Below are 21,327 nucleotides of genomic sequence, written 5' to 3'. Positions count from 1 at the left end.
CTCAGCCCTCTGGCCCAGCCCTTTCTCTCCCTTCCCAGGGCAATTGTAACCTGGAAGAAAAACAGTTGCACTTTAGAATTCTGATTTGGTGTTGCATTTGGCTTCAGAGACGTGAACGTCCAAAAATAAACAGCTGCTTGGCAACTCCAGTCTCAGCTAAATGGCCTGGCATTTTCAGTCTTTCTTTGAATCTGATATTGTCTGTGTTAGCGTCTCTTGTGTTACCAGAGGCTTTTTCGTGCTCCGGGTTATGTGTAGACTGTGAAGTAACCCATCCACACCCACATTCCCTGGCATCACTTCATCCACAGGCCCTCCTTGGGCTGGGACTAGGGAGATACCCATTGGAAGCAAACTTTCCATTTACCAGGGGTAAATTAATTCAAGTCACTGAGCCCCCTCAAGGAAGCCTGTGTTTAATTCCTCTGTGTATAAATGGAAGGTTCATTAATTTTCATCAGTCATCTAGTATGTAATATAACTGCTTCCTGTTTAAGCTACAGAACAATAGGTGTCGTCAGGGCCACATTTACCCTGCTTTAAGGTGACTGCTCTCAAACCTCAGAGTGCAGCAGAATCACCTGGGAGGCTGTAAAGAATGCTGATACCAGGTCTGCCCCCTACCCTGAACACTGCCACCTTCATTCACTAGCTCTGGGGTGGGCCCAGGAATCTGCATTTTAGCAATCAGTTTCCCCTTTCCCCCTAACCAGGGGATCGGAGGCAGGTGATCTGCTCACCACCCTTGGACAGATAGTGCTCTAGAGTCTCTGACTGTCCTTTTCAGGCGGGTTTGTGGCTCACTTTTGGCATGCCCACTCAGCACGAACTTTCCGGTGGCCTTTTTGCTATTTCTTTGGTTCTTGCCTGGTCAGCCACGGTTTGTATCTTATGTTTACAAACCTCAACAGGGAGTGTGAATCTGCCCACGGTTTCTTAGTCATTAATTCCACTTCCCTTGTGGCATCACCACTTGCAATGACATTCTTAGCTCAGTCTTTGAAGGGGAGAGGGGTGGGGGTGAGTCTTAGAGACCAAGGAATGACTGTCCCTGTAGATAAAAATGTCCCAGCCCTGAGGTCCTCCTGAGCTGGCCCAGGCCCAGTCAAGCACGAATCTGCTTTGTTTTTTATGTTCTGAAAATAGAATGCATTTTTTATGGCAGGAGAGAAATCAATATCATCACAGGAATCATCATCTCTTTTATGTAGAATTTTGAGAAATAGAGGTTTGAGAACCAAGTTACAGAGGATTAAATTTTCAGAACCTCTTACAACATTAAAGGGCTGATGAGGGCCAGTGAGGGGATGCCACTCTTTGAAGGAAAAGCTCCTAGCTACACATACCATGCTCCCTGGCTTCAGTGCCTCGCCTCAGAGCCTGTTGATACAACTCTTGGCTTCCAATCCATTTCTTTCTGAAATACATTCATGTAGGACATGAACCAACAGGCTAAAGAGGAAGGGAAGAAGAGGCCCATGGGCCCCCAGGCAGAGCTGGCTTGGTTCCCATGGGGCCCGTTGCATCACAGCAACTTGCTGGGGTGTTGTTCTGAGTTGGCCAGGCCCCTCCATAAAGAGCCCGGGGTCATTTAATTAATTAGGGGCTTTGTTTGCAAGATGGGTGGCATCACCGTGGTGACTGTCCTCGGCCAGAGGCTTTTTGAGTGAAAGCCACATGGTGATCCTGGGAGCTTTGGACCGGTGTGGCCTCGGTGGGGCTGTGCCTTGCCCCACACTCTGTGCATCTCCCAGGCAAGAGCAGGAGCACTTTACAGCCTCCAGCCGGGCTTGGCTGCCTGCTCCTGCTGCAGGCGGCCTCTGGGCTCCTAGGTAAGGAGAGATCCCCTGAGCTGCCTCTGACTTCGTGCCCTGCAGCTCCCGTGGAACGTGCCTGGGTATGAGATCACACCTTGTGAATGGCAGGGAAGTTGCCAGCTCGTGTTGCTGGGATTAGGATGCAAACTTGTTCTCACTAAGTGATGCTAATGCCATATTTATGACTGTGTTTCTTCCCTGCTGCTCAGCCCTCCAGTCCCTCCTTTTGGGACCTCACATATGACCCTGTAAAACTTCATCTGCTTGGAGGGGGGTCCATCTCACTAGGCTTTAGGGACCCTTTCGGATCCTACAGGAGATTCTGTTCCCTGTGATGTTTTCTATTCATCCCAACTTTATTCATAGCCTTAAAAATCAGCAGCCTCTGGGCTCGAATTCTAGCTCCACTTTTTTTTTTTTTTTTTTTACAGGCTATGTAACTTTGGGAAATATTTATCTTTCCTGGCCTCAATGTTCTCATCTGTAAAATAGGATTGTAGGTAGGCTTAAATGAGATAAGGTCCACTGGCACATGATTAACACCTAAGAAATATTAATTATTGCTATTATTAAGAATATTGCCACTGATTTAAAAATGTTGAGGGTCAAAGACGAAGCACTAAGACCTGGCTACTCCAAGTGTGGTCCCTGGGGCTGGCATCACCTGGGACCTTGCTGGAAATGCAGAATCCCAGGCTGGATACCCAGACCTATGGATTCAGAATCTGCACTTTTTCAAGATGCATGGGTGACTCCTATTTGAGAGGCACTTCAAGAATACTCCTTGAAGTCCAGCTTATATCAATGAATGAGCATGCAGGGAGATGGTTGCAAAAGGAGGAGGGCAGGGATTCTCTTGGTTAGAGCCTCGACGACATACAACCTGCCCAGACTCTCTGCCACGCCCCCAAGGCTGGTCCTACACTACACAGGCGTCCTCTCCATAAGACACCAGGACACCCTGGGGCTGGCCGGATATTAATTTTAACCTGCTTTTGCCACTGTGCAAATGTGGGGAGGGGAGGATATGTGTGGGGGTGGAGAGGAGCCAAGAGACCTATGATATGATTTGCTGTGGGCTCATTACCTCTTAAGTGTGGTTTATAATCACTGCCATTCAGTGAATACTGTGTGCTGGGGCCTTTACTTACCTAGTTTCCACTCCTCACAACAACCCCAAGAAACAGGATTTTGTAACCCCATTTTACAGGTGAGGAAACCGAGACCTGGGAAGTTTGGGCTTGCCTGAGGTCACCCAGCCGGTGACAGTCTGAGCATTTACTCTTCTACTCTGCATCCCCCAGCCCTTCCTAGGTCACCAAGCTCTGAACACCCACAGCAGCCAATGTGGGAGAGGATGCCCAGCAGGCCACAGAGCAGGTGGTTTTTGGTGATTATTCAAAAAAGGAAAAACCTCCAACCCTCAAGAGGAGGCTGTGCCTGTTGCATGTAACAGAATTGGCTGGGCTGAGTTTGCCTCTGAAACAGGCAGGCACTGCAGGGCGGGATTCACAGGTTCTCCACCAAACCTGCTGCTGCAGAAGGTTTAAACATTAAACCATAAGGTGGCCTTATTTAAAAGCAGACCATTTTATAAGGCACATGGTACTGTCTAGACTTGGGAACATTTATGAATGTGGCTGTACTGTGAGTCGGGCTCAAACACCTGAGTTCCCTCCTCCTCTCAGGCTCTCTGACTTGTACAGGAACAAATGGGATTTTTAGGGGTGGAGGGTGTGTGATTTCAGACATTTGGTAATCTCTTCCTGCTGGGCCCCTTCCTTACCTCTGTGTTTCTTTGTAGATGTGAGAATTGAGGAAAACTGGAGAGGAGGTTTCCTCCGCAATGCCGGGCATGTCTGTGCATTTCTTTGGTAGCCCTGGCCATGAGGGTAATTATGTAATTACTGGTGTGAGTTTTGCTTATTGCCCGTACCCTCCCCACCCCACCTCCCACCTTGAGGGCTGGAGCAGTCGCGCTGGCTCCCTTTTGTGTAGCCGGTACTTGGTAGGTTTTCAAAAAGAACAAGTGGATGAACAGTCAAATTTCATAAAGGCTGAAGTGTGAATATCTTGAGGCTGAGTTTTGATTTTAAGTAGGAACATATTTGTGCCCTGTTCAGCTGAATGGTGAAAGGAGACAGTGTGGGAGCGGGTGGAGAAATGCTCCTGGGATTGCTTTTTGGGTTCAAGATGTTCATCCTCCTGTCTGGTTTGGACTCAGGAGCCCTGCTGATAATGGTGTGTAACCAGCTGATCTGATCTTCCTGATTTCAGATGAGGTTGCAATGTAAAGACCCAGGATGGAGATGCTCTTGTCCTTTATGTACTATGAAAACATGTCCCTAAGACCTCCACTCACTGTCTCTTGAGGAGCCAGGAGGAATTCAAGTTTGCTCTGAAAAAGAAAGGAAGAAGGGAAGGTTCTACTTACAGAACACTCACTCTGGGTTAAAAAAGACTGACACTTATTTAGCAGTTACCCCCTGGCCCAGGTGTATTCTTGAGCACCTGATGTGTAATCCTTACCAGGACCTATGAGGCAGGTACTATTATTTCTCTACTAGATGAATGAGAAAACTGGTGCACAGAGAGGTTATGTAACCTGCCCAGGGTCACACAGCTAGAGGGTGATTTTAGCCTGGACTTAAAGCCATGTTCCTAAGCATTATGCAATACTGTCTGTGCACTGGCTCAGTGTATCCTTCAACTTCCTGAAGCAGATACTTTTGCAGGAGCTGCGTTAGAGATTTTCTTTTTTTTTTTTTTTTTTTCCTTAACAACCCTTAAACAATATGACAATCATTCTTAGCTCCCTGGGTCCTACAAAAACAGGCTGAATATGTGGCTAATAAAGTAGTTGGTGTGAAATGCTCCAGAGAAGATAAAATGGGAAGGGTATAGAGAGAGGGAGGTGGCCATAAGTGTGGCCTTATCAGCTAGAGGGATCAGGAAGGATCTCCCTGAGAGGGTGGTGTGAAGCTGAGGCTTAAATGAGAAGGGTGCAAAGATCCCTGGCATGTAAAGCATTCAGCACGGTGTCTGCTCCATATATTAAGTGGCTAATGAATACTGGCCATTACTATTAGTAGTAGTAGTGCTTTTTTGTTTTGTCATTAACCGGCTGTCTGAACCTTGGATGGGTCCGCCACCACTCTGGGAGTAGAGCTGAATGTCTTCCCTCCAGCCTTGGCAGGTGCACAGATGAGAGTGATTTCTAGCATTTGTCTCCTCCTGACTTCCTGTCACCCCTTTGAAACAGGGGAGCAGAATGCACCCTCTTTTACATTTTCAGTGGAAAAATCATTGTAGGAAAAGGGAAAATTTTTGTGGAGAGACAGCCACTATGCTTATTAACATTTATGGAGCCCTTTTAGTTTCCTCAGTGCTGAGCAAGGCTTGATGAGAATGTGGGCACTTTCCTTTTCACACCCAGCTGAAAGCATCCCCTGGCGATTGCACCATGGGACCCTCCGCCTCGCTGGACTGTTAGGGGGAATCAGCAAGTGGGCCTATTTTTTTACCCTTTAGAATGTTGCTACCCTCCTCTGACCCTGCATGGTGAAGAATTTATGCCTATTGTAACTTGACAATAGAGCCTCCTTGAGGCCAAGTTCAGCTTGCTGCATAATCAAAGGGGTGGTTTCTACCCTCGGCCATCTTTAGTTTATGGAGGAATGTAGGAGTTGTTCCAGCAGCCACCCACACCCTCCACAGCCTGTGTGTGTTCACTGTCTGCTTCCTCCCAGAACAAGGTCCCAGGATTACAGCCCTTCCTCAGATAAAATAAAGCCATCCAGTCATATCTTTACATTTGACGTAAGTGAAGGGAAGTTTTTCTTGCCCTATACTGAATGGGGCTGTGGTGAGGACTTGGGGTAGCTCTGAGTCTGGCTCTCTGCTGAAAAGGGGCCTTTAAGCTGGAAGGCTCATTCATCTCCATGCAGCCTCCTTCTATCCAGCCATGGGTCCACCCAGGGTCGAAGGGAGGTGGAGCCTGCCCCTGGGTTTACAGCAGGGCCCCCTGTGTTTTATATTTGTTTAGCTATTCCTCTATTGCCTGTGTAGATAGATGTTAAAGGAATTCTTAATCTTCTTACTATTATGCTTGTCGTGGCAGTATTATTTAACTGGGGTGGTTCCCCCTTTTTTTTTCCCCAGTTCTGCTACCACCTCTCTGGTCTGAGCTTGCATCAATTAATAACAGCAACCCTCCCCTCCCTCTAGCTTCCCTCCTTTCCTCCTTCCCTTCATCTTTCCTTCGTTTTTTATCTACCTGCCTACCTGCCTACACTAAATGTTTTCCCGGGTCTACCGTATGCCAAGCATGGTGTTAAGGACTGGAAGTTAAATAAAGCAGTGAATAAGATCCCTACCAGTGTAGAGTCAAGTAAAGACACAAATGCTGATTTAATCACAACTGGGGTAAGGACTGCAAAGGAGAAATCCCAGGAGCTGCTAGTCAGACATAACCTGTCTTTTGGGAGGTCAATACATAGCAAAAACAGTCATAACAGCTACCCAGTTCTTGTTGAGTCATAGATGGACTGATGCATTTTAGAAATGTTTTTGTTTGTAGTGCTTGGTGGAGAGCTGGTACAAGTCAGAAGTAGCACGTGCTCCTAAAAGTGAATATATTCCTGCTGAGGCTGGCTGGGGTTGACTGTGTGATAGGCAAGGTGTGGCCGTGGGCTGCTGATAATGAGGACTTTCTTTGCTCCAGATGACTGTATGCCTTTATAATCCAGAAGGATGGTTTAGCTGCCTTTCCCCTAGGAAAGTTTACCTGACCTCCACAGGTGAGAGTTGAGGTCACAAGAGGACCAGCCTGGAAGGGAACTAGGCAGGCTTTCTGATCCGGCAGCAAATTGATTGGTGGGCTTCTTTGTTACCCGTGGATACTCCCTTCCTGAAGTAGTTTTTGGCCCCCTTAGAGCCAATCTGATTAAGTTACTGACCAGCTTGTTTATGAGCAAAGATGAATCCATTGGCGAACACACTTTTCCTTATTAGGTTCCTATTGTCATTCATTGCCTTTTTCTCGGTGTGTTTCTTTTGAGTAATTGCTCCATGTGTTGGCCCTGGCAGGTCTCTGCAGTTTGCATTTGCAACATTGGCACTGAGCTTTGGGAATTGACAGGGGCCGGGCAGGGAGATGAGCTGTCACTACCTTTGTTTTACCCTGATTTGTCTCCAGAAGAGCCCTCTGGTCATACCATGTGCTATTGAAGGTGGCTTGGGCAAGAGGAAGGATGTAGGAAGGAATTCGCTTCTGAGCCCTTGCGTAAACACAGCATAGCCTGGAGTCTTAAAAGCCGAGGCTTGAGGCAGAGCTGGCCTCGAGGTTGGCCAGGCAGTAATGATTTTTTATAGCCACTGCTGTGGCAGCTGCACAGTGGAACTGAGTGGTACCAATTTCACCTAACCATGTTTAATCATCAGTACCCTGTAAACTGAACTTGCCTTTTTTTCTTTTTTCAAAGCATCAGGGTTCTTCGAGTAAACGACTCTGGCCATGTTAAGCAGCCTCTGCTTTATGAAAAAACAAAAACAAAACAAAACAAAAACAAAAACAAAACCACCATCACAAATCCCAGGCTGTCAAACCTGATGTTTTCTGTTGCCAGGAGAAGGGTGTTTTTGCTGTGTATGAAAGACATGACAAGGGGGCATTTCCAAGCTTTGTTTTGGTTATTGTCAGTTCTGCCAACAAGTAACATCTGTATTTATTTTCCAAACTCCCCCAATGGCTGATTTGCATCTGTTTAGCTCTCTGAATAACATTTCATTTCCTGACTTTATAGGTTGCTATAAAATCCATTCGTAAGGACAAAATTAAGGATGAACAAGACATGGTTCACATCAGACGAGAGATTGAGATCATGTCATCTCTCAACCATCCTCATATCATCAGTATTTATGAAGGTCAGTGATTTTTTTTTTTTTTAACCCCCATATCAGTTACCATTTCTCATACCATGGGGCCTGCCAAGACTTTGAGATAATTGCCCTTCTGGGCAGAAGCCAAGTATTTTTCCTCATGATGCAAAAATAGTCGGGTGTTATCTCTTACTTGGTTACCTTGAACACAACCAGACACATGAGTGCAGCTCATTTTGGTCATAAAATATCTCTGGCGGATACCTTATTCTGTCTTCTTAATTCCTTGGCAGTTGCTAAGCAACCCACCTTATTGAAAGCCAGTTTGTGAGACAGCCCTGGTTTCTGAAAAATGACAGTTTGCTGGGTGACCAAATAACAGTGGATACATTGTAAATGTCATTCCCCAAAGCCAGTCGCTTTGCTGGTGGTACGGAGTTACTCCAAGTTAGGTTCTTTGAGTTAGAAATTAACCCTGAGCAGGTCCAGTAAGCACCAAGAAAGAGGGTTGGTGCAGCAGATGCCTTATAAATGGAGCCCAAATTGTGTTGGTGTTTGCAAAAAAGAGCAGCATGGGGAAAAGCTTATACAGACGCTCAGGCTTCAGTTCAACTCCTTGGTCCTTCATGAGAAGAAATGGAGAGAATAAACCGCCCACAGACTATCATTTATGTTTTAAGACCCTGTAAATAAATTACACAGCAGTATGTGTTTATTGTAGAAATGATTGAAATCGAAATGTTAAAATTAAAAAATAATTTCTGTTCTAACTCCCAATTTGATAAATAGCTCTCTATCCATATCTCTATATTTATCTATTTCTCTGTATCTATTTGTGGTTTTTGTCCAGTTAGATCATGCTATTTAAACTGTTTTTTAGCTTGATTCTTTTTTCATTTGTTGTCTCGTGCATCTTTTCTGTATCAATAAATATTCCCCTGTAAGGACATTTGAAAAGGTTTTATAGCATTCTGTTTATGGACATACCATAATTTATTGAATCTAATTTCTTTTGCCAAACACTTAAGTTGTTCCAAATTTCTGGTTATTATAAACAGGGCTTCACAACTCTCCTTGTGCATCATTTTGACATTCATTTCTGATTATTTTCTTATGAAAATTTCCCAATTTTGGTTTTACTGAGTCAGAGTGTTTCCCTAGAATATTTAAAAATATGTGGCTGAAAAATGAACTTATTGCTGGGTGCAGTGGCTTATGCCTGTGATACTGGCACCTTGGGAGGCTGAGGTGGGCAGGTGGCTTGAAGTCAGGAGTTCGAGACCAGCCTGGCCAACATGGTGAAACCCGTCTCTACTAAAAATACAAAAAGTAGTCAGGTGTGGTGGCGCATGCCTGTAGTCCCAGCTACTCAGGAGGCTGAGGCACGTGAATCACTTGAGCTAGGGAGACGGAGGTTGCAGTGAGCTGAGATCGTGCCACTGCATTCCAGCCTGGGTGACAGAGTGAGACTCTGTTTAAAAAAAAAAAAAAAGAAAAATGAACTTATTTTTAATTCGTGGTCAGATTATAAGAAGTTATCAGGTTGGGCTAAAAGGAAACCAACCAGTGGTGTCCCTAAAGTTTTTCTGATAGTTTTCGTTTTTCATCTGGTTCCCTGATCTTTTTTTGCCATTCTTTTTTTCTGCTGCTTCTATTTTTGCCTCTTATCTAGAAGTAAATGTTGGTAATATATTTCTTTTATCCTGGTCATTTGAAGGCTCATTTTTGGAGCCCTTGGTGATAGGATTTTTAAGGGAAATTTTTATCCATTCTATCTTTTATTTACATCACAAACACCTCTTACAGTGCTTCTCAAAGTGCCTGGGCTAGTGGCATGAGCATCACTTGAGATTATTAGAAATACAGATTCTCAGGCTTCACCCAGGACCTGCTGAATCTGAAACTCTCTGGGTGGGGCTCAGCAATCTGTGTTTCAACAAATTTGAGAACCACTAGTCTACTGAGTGGAGTGTCTACTTCGTGTTAAGCACTCTGTTCAGTGAAGTTAGAAATTTGAAAGCTGAATGTGATATGGACCCCACACTCAAGAAGCAACATAGATCCCACACTCAAGAAGCAATACAGGCTGGACATGATGGCTCACGCCTGTAATCCCAGCACTTTGAGAGGCCATGGCAAGAGGATCACTTGAGGTCAGGAGTTTGAGACCAGCCCGGCCAACATGGTGAAACCCCATCTCTCCTAAAAATACAAAAATTACCTGGTTGTGGTGGCATGTGCCTGTAATCCCAGCTATTTGGAAGGCTGAGGCAGGAGAATAGCTTGAACCTAGGAGGCACAGGTTGCAGTGAGCCAAGATTGTGCCATTGCTTTCCAGCCTGGGCAACCAAGTGAGACCCTGTCTTAAAAAAAAAAAAAAAAGAAGCAATACAAGGCAGTATGGAAAGAGTGCTATGTAGCAATGTAGTTTGTTCTCATGCTGCTATAACGAACTGCCCAAGAGTGGTAATTTATAAAGGAAAGAGATTTAATTGACTCACAGTTCTGCAAGGCTGGGGAGGCCTCAGGAAACTTACAATCATGGTGGAAGGGGAAGCAAACATTCCCTCTTCACATGGACAGAGGAAGGATAAGTGCCGAGTAAAAGGGGGAAAAGCCCCTTATAGAATCATCAGATCTTGTGAGAACTCACTCACTATCACGAGAACAGCATGAGGGTAACTGTCCCCATGATTAAATTACCTCCCACCGGGTCCCTTCCACAACATATAGGGATTATGGGAACTACAATTCAAGATGAGATTTGGGTGGGGAGATAGCCAAACCATATTAGTAGGCATGTAAGCAGTATATTCTGGGACCATGTTCTGGAAGCTTGGGGATTGGAAGTTTTCATGGAGATGTATGGCATTTGGGCTGGGTCTTGAAGGAATTTTTTGATAGGGGAAGAATTGTGGAAAATAGAATTCCAGGCTGATAAGATAAAATCTGAATATGTCCAGTGAATGAGGGGAATTTCTAGAAGTTGGAAGTGAGTAGAGAGACAAAGACACAATGTGGAAGTGGAAGTGAGTTTCGTTAAGCTCCGTAGGCCATGGTGAAGGATTGACCTGTAGGGTGTGGAGCCATACAATCCTGTGCCCTGAGAACACTATTGTGTTTTGGGATTTCTTGGCCCAGAGCAGGAGCCTTCTTTATCAGGAAGGGAAAGAGAGTGCATTCTCAGCATGAAGGTTCCAGGTTCTTTATTTGAGAGGCAGTCTGTGGTTGCTGGCGTCCCACATGGAGAAACCTGACTTCTTCACCAGCACCATGCCCTGTGTGGCCTTGGGAATCAGACAGGACGAATGGAGAACAGGAAACCATCCCCCTGGCAAAGAGAAGATCAGAGACAAACCTTAACGGAAGAATATTTAGTTACCAACGTGAAGTTGGCCTCAGTAGAGACCGGGCTGGAGGCTTTAAGGAGAAGAGAAGCCCTCAAGGCTCTTGCTTGTCACTTTAAAGATGCATAGCAGTGTGAGGAAGGTCTTTAGGTTACTAGAAATAATTTCTATCAAGGCCTCAGGAGGGAGCTGGGGCTTCAGTTGGTGAAACCCTTAGGACAGGTTTTAGGGAGTTAAGGAAGACTTGAGGTCTCACATCAGGAGGTCTTGAGCTTCAGCCTCCAGTCCTCCACTGTGACCTAGGCACAACACTTGGGGTAAGATGGTAGGCTTCTCAGTGCCTCAGTAATCACATCTGTAAAATGGGGATGACCATTCTAGCTCTGTCATGGGGTTTTCAGTAGGATTAAATGGCATGATACATGTATCTGGTAAGCTCAAAAAAGATAATTATTATGAGGACACTGTAATCATCACAAATAGTTCATAACGTGGGGTCCATTGACAAGGTATTTCATGGATGAGCTGCAGGGATCTGTGAATCCCTTGGAATAGTATGTAACTATGCTGTCCAACACAGAAGCCACTAGCCACAGGTGGATATTTAAATGGAAAATAATTAAAACAAAATAATTTAAAATTCAGTTCCCCAGTCACACTAGCCACATTTCATGTGCTCAGTAGCCACAGGAGGCTAGTGGCTACCATATGGGACAGCATAGCTGCAGAACATTTTCATCTTCATAGAAAGTTCTGCCGGACAGTGCTGCTATATAATGTTTCATGTGTTGTGTGCATGAGTTACTTTTTTCTGAGAGAGGGTACATAGCTTTCATCAGACTCTCAAAGGCATTCCTGACCTCAAGTAGGTTAACGAGAATCCAGTGCCTCCAAGTGTTTTGCGACCTATAGGGTATCATGCAAATAAAAGGTGTTGTTTTTATCCAGAAAACTCTCGGGGTCTTACATGTGTCCTTTTTCTTTCTTTTAATTTCTTAGAGCTCTCCAGTTTCTGTTCTGTTCCCTTTCCCTTCTCCCACGCAAGTTCTGTTTCTCCCACATCCACTAAATAACTGTGGAGGAGGGCAGCTCCCCTCCCTTCCCTGGGGGTTGGGAGCAGGAGATTGCCAAGGCTGTATTCCAGCTCCTACACCTCTCACTGGGAACCACAGTCCCAGGATCCCATGACTTTATCTGCTTTCCTGCCCAGCAGGACCCAAAGATCCAGCGCTGAACGTGAAGTTAGACATCCTGCCATCTGTAGAACTCTTCATAGTTTACAAAGGCCTCCCACATCTGGTCTCCTTTTATCCCCACAGCAAACCTGTGAGGTGGGCAGGCCAGGGATTCCCATTTTGCAGTTGTGGAAACTGAGGCTCTAGAAGGTTTAATGACTTGCTGGATGTATTAGTTTGTTAGGGCTGTCGTAAGAAAATACCATAGACTGGTGACTTAAGCAACAGAAATATATTTTCTCACAATTCTGGTCTGAGTGTGGTGAGGGAAGGATCTGTTCCAGGCCTCTCTCCTTGGCTTATAGATGACCGACTTTTAACTGTGTCTTCATACCTCTTCCCACCACATGTGTCTGTGTCCAAATTTCCTCTTCTCATGAGAACACCAGTCATATTGGATTAGGGCCTGTGCTAAGGACCTCATTTTAACTTATCTCCGTAAAGACACTGTCTCCAAATAGGGTCACGTTCTGAAGTACTTGGTGTTAGGGCTTCAACGCCTGAGTTTTTGCGGGGATGCAGTTCAGCTCATCACACTGGGGGTCATGGCTACGTGGTGACCCTGACATATGGGTCTCCTGGTCCCCTTTGTTTTCTTGCTCTGTCGTGCCTCATCCGTATTTCTGATCCTGTGTCTTCTCTTGCTGGCTCTGCAGGCCACCTCAGCCTGGCCTTTTCCATCCTGCCCCTACCTGCCCCTGCTGCAACCTGGGGGCGTGGTGGGGGCAAGGAGTGTGGCAGCAGTGGTGGTGGGACCCCAGTCTGTGAGCCCATCTGCTGGTCTCCCTGCTACTCACAGAATGAGAGGGGAACCTTCTCTCTGGAAGCCGGTTGGTCGACAGGCCAATCAAGAGCCTTAGCTCGGTGCAGAAATGCATTAATTTGCTTAGAAAGAAATTGATGCTAAGGCACCAAAGTGGCTATTTGGATACTAGCCAAATGAGTAGAAGCTGTTAAAGAACTTGCCAGTGTCTTCTTTAGCAAAGATCTTTATGATTAAAGAGTCAAATGCACACACACATAGTGACAGCAACAACAACAACATCAACAAAACAACAATAGCAACATGACAATGCAATGATGTGCCTAACCCTGTATGTTTAGAAAGTGTGGGTTTTAATGAAAGGAAGCCATCATCTTGAGCTGTACTAACCGGTGATATTGAAATACTAGTTCTAGAGAAAAAGCGATTTATTCATTAACAAAAATGCTAATAAAGTGCTTACTATGTGCCAGGCCCTATTCTAGGCACTAGGAATACAAGGGCCAACAAAGCAAGCTCCTGTCCCTCTTGGAACTGCCATTAAAGAGAGGAGACAGAGAGTCAACAAAGTGAACAGACCAGGCGGTCCCTTTCGGACTGAGCCTTGAGCTGAAGGACTTTTGAGTAAGTGGTTATTGAGTGAAGATCTGAATGAAGCGGAGACTAAACACTTCAGAGTCCTGGGAATGCCATACAAAGGGAACAGCATGCGCAAATGCTCAGAGGAGAGAAGGCACTTATATGGGTAGAAGGGACAAAGGATCTGGGAGGTTGGCAGGGGTGAGGAGAAGGGTAGTAGGAGAAGGAGGTGGAGAGGGCTAGATCTGGACCACACTGGCCAGAGGAAGGAGTGTGGATTCTCTTTCAGGAATGGTGGGAAACTGCTAAAAGGAGGAAGTAGCATTTTTTGATTTATACCTTTAAAATAATACTAGGGCTGGGTGTGGTGGCTCACACCTGTAATCCCAGCACTCTGGGAGGTCATGTTGGTAGAGATGGGGTTTCATCATGTTGCCCAGGCTGGTCTCGAACTCTTGAGCTCAAGTGAGGTATTTTTGGTAGATCCTCTGGCCTCACTTGAGCTCAAAAGTTCGAGACCAGCCTGGGCAACATGGTGAAACCCCGTCTCTACCAAAAATACAAAAAATTAGCTGGACGTGATGGTGCATGCCTGTGGTCCCAGCTACTCAGGAGGCTAAGGTGGGAGAATCACTTGAACCCGGAAGGTGGAGGTTGCAATGAGCCAAGTTTGTGCCACTGCACTCCAGCCTGGGTGACAGAGTGAGACCCCATCTCACAAAAATAAATAAAATAAAATAGTACTAATAATAGCTAGGAGTTATTGAGTGTTTACCTTGGGCTAGGAGGTGTGCATGTACTATCTCACTTAACCCTTATATCTGGGAAATATGAAATGTTAAGATCCCTATTTTATGGTAAGGAAAATTCAGCTTTAGAGGCAAAGTCCATTTTCTAAGGTTACCAACTAATAAGTGGTGGATCCGAGAGGTGAACCCAGGCAGCAACACTCAGAACTCGGTGCTCCTGATACTAACCAGGTCATTTGGTGGTCTGCAGAGACCCCTAACTGGAGGGAAGTATTGTTCTTGACCCTGTGATATGTAGAATTCCCAGTCTTCATAGAGGTTACTGTCTTACATATCTGAGAGCATTCAATCCTAGCTTTGTAGGCATTTTAGAAAATACTTCTGCCAGCATCCAAGGAAGAAGGTTGGGGTTCAAATCTGTTAAACTCATAGGTCAAGTGTTTTCTAAACTGCAGAACACCATGAAAATTTGATTTTTATATAATCACAATACCCCCAGGCCCATAAAATCTGTGACTTCACTGAAGTGATGCTGCTGTTCACCCAATCTCAAAAATAATTCCTTTCAAATGTGTCTTTCTTGAACCAAACCCTGGGGTTAACTCTCCTATTGACCCATGGGTGAAGGTGATTAACCCTCAAATTTGTCAACTCTGTGTAAATACAAACGTAACTGGCTTCTAATGCTAAGTAAATAAAAGAGGATAGACGTACACTTTTCAGTGTGTGATACTAAGGAAAGCCTAATCAAGAGAAAAGAAAGAAATCTCTGGCACCATCTCAAAGAGGGACCCCTGTTTCCAGTCAAAGGAATTCCATTCTCTCAGCAGGGAGGTAATTGACAATATGGAAAAAAAAGCTGAAAAGGAAGTGCCCACTGGAGCTTTCAACTGGGTTGCCTAGGATGGAAGAGATAAAAACAGTTTTTGCCTGAGGTTCTGATTTCAGGACCGAAGTTCAAACATCAAAGGCGCACTGTCTCACCCCCACTTCCCCTTTGAAAGCCTAGGAGACCCGATCTGCAAAACCACTGAGAACAAACATCTTTAGCATCCCATCTGGTAACAGTCCGGCATATAAAATTGAAAAGGTGGGTGGAGGGGTGGGGGAGATTCGGCCTGTGACTTCCCTTTGACACCCTTGGTTTTGGTTTCTGGAAATCTCTCCTCTTGGCCATGCAAGATTGCATCTCTTTATGGGTTCTTTGCATTGTGATGTGCTGGAACTGGCCAACCCTTTCATCACTTCTCCTATTTTAGATAAGGGTGATCCTGGCTTTCTGGGACAAAGTAGGAAGCCTCTTTGGCATTTGTTAACTGTGATCTCTCATCCGTTGGAAGTGTTTCTCCAACTTGAAAAGAAACGAAATAGACAAACACGTCCTTTGATAAGCATTTGAATCTGATGCCCCCACCCTGTGAGCCTTAAGCATGCTGCCCACGAGAAGATAAGTTATAATAAGTCTGTATTCTCAAATATTCTCTGAATTCCCACCATGAAGACACTTTGGATGAGTGCACTATCAGTTAAAAGCTCCTCTCATCTTACTAGAGAAATTGCACTACAATATGCTTTTGCAAGCTACCTGTGCTCCCTGAGATTTGGATAGGTCTTTCTGGGAGGAGATACCACTCTTGGCGAAAATCACTGCTCTAAAAATCCAGAGAAGCAGAAGAGAAATCAAGAGACAGGGGCTGTGGAAAAGCCTGTATTCCTTATTGTACACGGCATCGCCCCCAGCCCCTGCCCTGACCCCCAGCTCGTGGCCAGGGGCAGTGGGGCTTGTGTAAGATGTTTCTGCAGAACCCAGCAGAGGTCCTGGAATCAGAAAGTGTTGCTGCTCCATCCTGTGCCCCTGGAAAATCACCTCTTGAGAATGGCAGGCCCCTGGTAAACTGCTTAATAATGCATTTGAGCAGCAGTTCTCAAAGGGTAGCCCCAGACCTGCTGAATTGGAAACTCTGGGGGTGGGTTACAGCACCCAGAGTAATCATTAGCCCTCCACGTGTCTCTGATGTACACCCAAATTTGACAACCCCACTGTACTAGAAAAACCCCTGCAGAGAAGGTTAGAAGCAAAACCTTCCAAATAATTGATTCTGGTTTCCTTAGAAACAAAAGCAGGGCTGTATTTCTAGCATCAGTTACTTGGAAATATCTACAAACAGTTTATGTTTCTCTTCTCAGACACAACTGTGCTACTCCAGGGTTCTCAGGCAGGAAGATTTGCAAGCAGGTCCTGATATAGGTTCTTTTGAAGGCAGGGAATGGCTGAACTGATCTAACAAGATCAATGATCCTTAACATTATCCACTATTCTCATTCATTCATTTGCTTATTTAGTCATTGAATCATTCATGTGTTTTACAAAAAGGTATTGAGCACTTTTGTTCCAGGTACTATTCTATTAGCACTTTTGTTTCAGGTACCATTCATTAAAGTAATGGTGAAAACCACAATCAGTTTTGCATGAACCTAATAGTAGGGCAAGAGTATAAATTTGTCATCCACGTAGGCTGAGATTTGAGTGAGCCAATTGCACTGCTAGTTACTGCAGTGTGACCTTGGGCTAGTGACTAAGCTCTCTGAGGCTGTTTCCTTGTCTATAAAATGGGGCCAGTAGCTAGCTGCTTTATAGATAATGTAGGATTAAATGAGCTAATGAATAAAATTGCTAAGTACCGTGCCAGGGCCATGCTCAAGAAATGGAATTGATTATTCCTGATGTGATATCTAGGGATCAGTGAGATGTCCTTTCTGGCTGGAGTAGAAACTTCTGTCGGGAGATTGGAGAAGAGAAGATTGAGGCCAGCTTGCCTATCAGTGATTCTGAATGATGGAGGCACATTAAAATCTCATGAGGAGTTTGTAAAAAATGCTGATGCCTGGGTCTCACCCCCAAAAATTCCAGTTTAATTGACCAGGCTGAGAAATACAGGCTTAATCCTGCAACAAAGAGAAAACGAGCCCTGCTCTGGAAACTTGTCTTGGTCTGATCGTTTGTCATCAGTGAATTCCAGGGAAGAACGTGTGTCTGGCGGCGGTCACCAGTGAGCAGTGAATGATACCTTCGGGCTTGGGTTTACTTACTTAGCTGTTGGGTTGCTGCCCTCATCAGAGACTCAGAGCCCCGTGAAACAGTTTGTTGAACTTGGCAAAGTAGTGTATTATGCTTGTGTTTACTCCTTTGAACCCATGGCAAATAGTTGAGCATTTTAACACACTCCCTCTGCCGCCAGATTCACACGTTCCACATGAAGTCCCTGCAGACTGGATCCAAACTGAGGACTCGCCCTTATTCGTAACACAGCACCAGAGAGTTCTCTTCACGTGTAATCATGTGAACGAGTGCTTCAGCTGTGAGCCTGTCCAGCCACGTTTCTAATGAGTTTCCTATTAAGTTAGCTATTTGACCTTCAAGTTATTATTTTCATTGTTTTCTTTTGATTACACCCAAGTCATTTTTCTAGAGGCTGGAGATCAGAAACAAAACAGCTACAAACTAATGCTACTCCCAGGCTGTCCTGCCTCACCCTCCTGGGTTTCCTGGAATTCAATATTTTCTAGTGCCTTAAATAATGACACTTATACTTGACACTAATTTTTAAAGAAAAAAAAAAGACTCTATTGCCCTTTACTATGGGGTCTTTCGGAATGAACTGGGATAGCTTTCTTAATTTGCGCAGGCAGTCACCAGCATGCATTTGGGAAGGCTCACAGAGCACAGAAGAGGGGCCTCCACAATGGCCATGTACAACAGTGGGGATTTGGATATTGAAAGGGGGGTCAGATTAGATGAACTGTAACTTTTAACCTGCCGAGTCTGGGAATTTTTTTGATTGTGCTCCCCACCATGACTTCTGACAGCAGGTGCCTCTGGTAGGTATGGCTCAGAGATTGACACCCATGCTTGGAACAGCCCTAGGGACCAAAAGAATGAAAGAGAGCTAGGCTTGCCTTCACCTCAGCTTTTACTGGGGGTCACTCAAATCCTCTGATGTCTTTAAGTGTTCATTCACTATTTCTGCCATTCCTTCACCTCCAACCCATCACACACATACCTCAAGGTCTCAAATGCAGCCTTGGGTGTGGACTCTGCCAGTGCATACCCATAATTCTGGAGTTGATGTCTTCCTTAGTTCCCCTTTGCTGCTGAATCGGAACAGCTAACACTTCTGCGTACACTTGCTGCTGTGTGCTAATATTCACAGTGAGACGTAAGGTAGAGGCTTCATTTTAGCAGAGGAAGAGCCTGCAGGTACGGAAAGGCTAAGTAACTTGCCCAGGTCACCCAACTGGGAAGTGGCTGGAGCCAGAGGTGTGAGGACCACGGGCCTGGCCTTTCCACCTTGGTGAGGTGGTGATGGTGAGATGAATCCCTGTGCCAAAGCCCTCTGCCAGGGTTTCCAGGGGTGGAAGACTAAGGCTGTCTTCACAGAGGTATTTCTACCCCCATCACTGCCAGAATTGGGGAGCATGCTTTTTCAGAAGTTCACGGCATCAAGTACAAGAACCCTTGCTTCTTTCTGGGGGTAGTTGTGAGAGGTTCTGATCAATTGCCGGGGCTTTCTCACATTCAGGATTGTGTGAGTGAGTGTAATTTTTTTGAGAGAGAAAGAGTGGTGTGTGTGTGTTGTGTATGACACAAAAGCTGAGACAGAGCAATAGAGGGAATGATCAGGGAGGCTGTGGAGTTGTGTGTGATATGGAGTGTGTATCATGAGCCTGTGGTGATGGCTGATAGCGCCCGTTTCCACCTTAGGGCCCTGCATGGTTTCTAGAAATGCTCCCCAGGGATGGTTGTGGAAGGAGGGTGGAGTCCAGTGGCTCGTCCAGTGTGGTGTTGTCAAGTCCCCTCTCCCACACAACTTCTCTCTCTATCCTGGCCACGTCCCCTGCCTTCCTAGGATTGGATATTGGGCCCCATTGGCACTATTAATCCTAGCAGGCACGGATGGGTCTTGGCAAGGCTTCTGCATCCCCTCTTCTGCAGGTGGCTTCTACACTTTCTTACCATTTCTTCTGCCTTCCGTGGAGTCCACTTCTGGCAGTGGGTGGCCTCATTGGCTGTGGTTTTCTTCGGGCATGCCAGCCAACATCCAGAAAGAGTTTTGGTTCAAGAAAAGACAGTGAGTGAACAAAAAAGTCTTTTGTTGTGCAAACCAGGAACTGCACTGAATCAACTCGGACCGATTTATTGACAGGGAGATGCCAGTTTAAATTTCTCATCCTCACTGCTCTGGGCTTTCAGATCCAAGAGATCAGAGGACGATTTAGTGAAGCTGTGAGCCCACGAGGTGTTTGAAATTGACTTCTAGGGAGGAAAGTTTTGAAGAATGAGTCTTGTATTGACTAAATGACTCAACTGGTTTGCAGACAGTCTTTCAAAGAAAAGATCACTTCATTTTTGAAGTGATAAGCTACTTTCTGTGAGGACTGTACTGACCTTTAATAAAAGAGCACCCTTGAGGAGTGGAAAGGTACTCCGGTCCGAGATTTTGGGAAAATTACAAAAATGCTGCTGCCTAGGGAGGCAATGCTGTGGAAGAAATGGCAGCACCCTGGTTGTCACCTAGGAGACGGACCTGATGGAAGGCAAAGGTGTGGAGAGAATTCTCTTGGGGCCACTGCTAGGCCCTAGGCCTTTTTTTTTTTAAATCAACAGATGGGCTGGGTGCAGAGGCTCACGCCTGTAATCCCAGCACTTTGGGAGGCTGAGGTGGGCGGATGGCTTGAGTTCAGGAGTTTGAGACCAGCCTGGGCAACATGGCGAAACCCTGTCTCTACCAAGAAAAAAAAAAATTACAAAGATTAGCCAGGAGTGGTGGCACGTGCCTGTAGTCCCAGCTACTTGGGAGACTGAGGCAGGAGGATCACTTAAGCCTGGGAGGCGGAGGTTGCAGTGAGCTGAGATCTTGCCACTGCACTCCCACCTGTGTGACAGAGCAAGACCCTGTCTCAACAAACAAACAAACCAAAAAACTCAACAAAAGACTCTTCCTCCCTGGAGGTTACAGAAAGAAATTGTCCCTTTTTAAAAACTGACCCTTCCTGGGGCATCCTGTAAATTCATCCTCATCCTCTCTGCTTTCCAGGCTTCTTTCTTCCAAAACAGTCCAGTATATTCGGCTGTCACGTGGCCAGTGGATGCTTAAAATCCCAGGATCTCCTCACTCATCAGCGTTTCCCTCAGACCAGAGCACTGTTTTTATAATACACATTTTCTCAAGTTCTACAAGTTGTGTTGTTAACCTCGAGAGCTGCAGGAGGCAGTCTCTGGGAGCTGGGTCATTAGCCTGGTTGTGAAAACCAGATGATCAGAGGGCAGAACGGGACTGTCAAACCGAACATCTGATGAAATTCAGGATTAATGTGGAGAAGTAGCTGTTGCTATAGCAACCAATCCCTACTATCCTTTGAAATGGAAAATAAACAGCAAACAAGAAAAATAATTTAAGTTGGTGTCTGGGAAGAAGGAAGGCCTGCCAGTGGAATAGTCAAAGAAAAAGGAGAGTTCGGGTATTTTAGGATATGTTGAAACAATGGTGAAACTATCTCAAAAGCAAAACCCAGGTCATTTTGGGTGGTTCAGTTCCATGCCTGCTTTTTCTAGAAATCTTTTCAGGCCCCTTCTGGCTGACCTCACTGATCTTTCTGATTGTCCAGGTACTTAAAGTCTGTACTGTACAGGTTAGCTCTTGAATTATTTTTTAAGTACTGGTCATTTCCAACTCGAAAGCAACTCCTTGGGGTTAATGACTGTGCCTTCTCCTCTTTTGTATTCCCTTTAACATGTACCAAAATGCCCAGATAAATGCCTCAAATCGGCTGATAATAAAGCCATTTCAGAAAAATCAGTAAGTTTGGCTCCATTTAATGAAGGAGAACCTTTACTGGATGTAATGCAAAAAGCAGAACTGTATGATGGAGGAAGGGGGTGGAGAGTCATGGCGAGAA

The 21,327-nt window shown here is 45.3% G+C and overlaps 1 protein-coding gene across 1 annotated transcript in view, besides 5 other annotated features; it reads left to right on the top strand.

The window, feature by feature from the left end:
- Nucleotides 1-21,327, top strand: part of NUAK1 (NUAK family kinase 1) — a 75,610-nt gene that overhangs the window by 24,808 nt on the left and 29,475 nt on the right. Inside the window, exon 2 of the mRNA NM_014840.3 lies at nucleotides 7,622-7,742. Coding sequence (NP_055655.1) covers nucleotides 7,622-7,742 — 121 coding nt within the window. The remainder of the gene's footprint in view (nucleotides 1-7,621; nucleotides 7,743-21,327) is intronic.
- Nucleotides 5,036-5,780: an enhancer, noted in NCBI's record as "OCT4-NANOG-H3K27ac-H3K4me1 hESC enhancer chr12:106502145-106502889 (GRCh37/hg19 assembly coordinates)". NCBI's record gives its function as "activates a minimal SCP1, AML or CMV promoter by ChIP-STARR-seq in naive H9 embryonic stem cells {active_cell/tissue: H9 hESC(naive)}" and the evidence as "EXISTENCE:reporter gene assay evidence [ECO:0000049][PMID:30033119]".
- Nucleotides 5,781-6,524: an enhancer, noted in NCBI's record as "NANOG-H3K27ac-H3K4me1 hESC enhancer chr12:106501401-106502144 (GRCh37/hg19 assembly coordinates)". NCBI's record gives its function as "activates a minimal SCP1, AML or CMV promoter by ChIP-STARR-seq in primed H9 embryonic stem cells {active_cell/tissue: H9 hESC(primed)}" and the evidence as "EXISTENCE:reporter gene assay evidence [ECO:0000049][PMID:30033119]".
- Nucleotides 6,525-7,270: an enhancer, noted in NCBI's record as "NANOG-H3K27ac-H3K4me1 hESC enhancer chr12:106500655-106501400 (GRCh37/hg19 assembly coordinates)". NCBI's record gives its function as "activates a minimal SCP1, AML or CMV promoter by ChIP-STARR-seq in naive and primed H9 embryonic stem cells {active_cell/tissue: H9 hESC(naive and primed)}" and the evidence as "EXISTENCE:reporter gene assay evidence [ECO:0000049][PMID:30033119]".
- Nucleotides 12,951-13,484: an enhancer, noted in NCBI's record as "H3K4me1 hESC enhancer chr12:106494441-106494974 (GRCh37/hg19 assembly coordinates)". NCBI's record gives its function as "activates a minimal SCP1, AML or CMV promoter by ChIP-STARR-seq in primed H9 embryonic stem cells {active_cell/tissue: H9 hESC(primed)}" and the evidence as "EXISTENCE:reporter gene assay evidence [ECO:0000049][PMID:30033119]".
- Nucleotides 14,934-15,519: an enhancer, noted in NCBI's record as "OCT4-NANOG hESC enhancer chr12:106492406-106492991 (GRCh37/hg19 assembly coordinates)". NCBI's record gives its function as "activates a minimal SCP1, AML or CMV promoter by ChIP-STARR-seq in primed H9 embryonic stem cells {active_cell/tissue: H9 hESC(primed)}" and the evidence as "EXISTENCE:reporter gene assay evidence [ECO:0000049][PMID:30033119]".

The sequence above is a fragment of the Homo sapiens genome, chromosome 12 (assembly GCF_000001405.40).
Source record: "Homo sapiens chromosome 12, GRCh38.p14 Primary Assembly".
Classification (NCBI taxonomy): Eukaryota; Metazoa; Chordata; class Mammalia; order Primates; family Hominidae; genus Homo; species Homo sapiens.
This window is presented reverse-complemented; position numbering and strand designations above follow the sequence as displayed.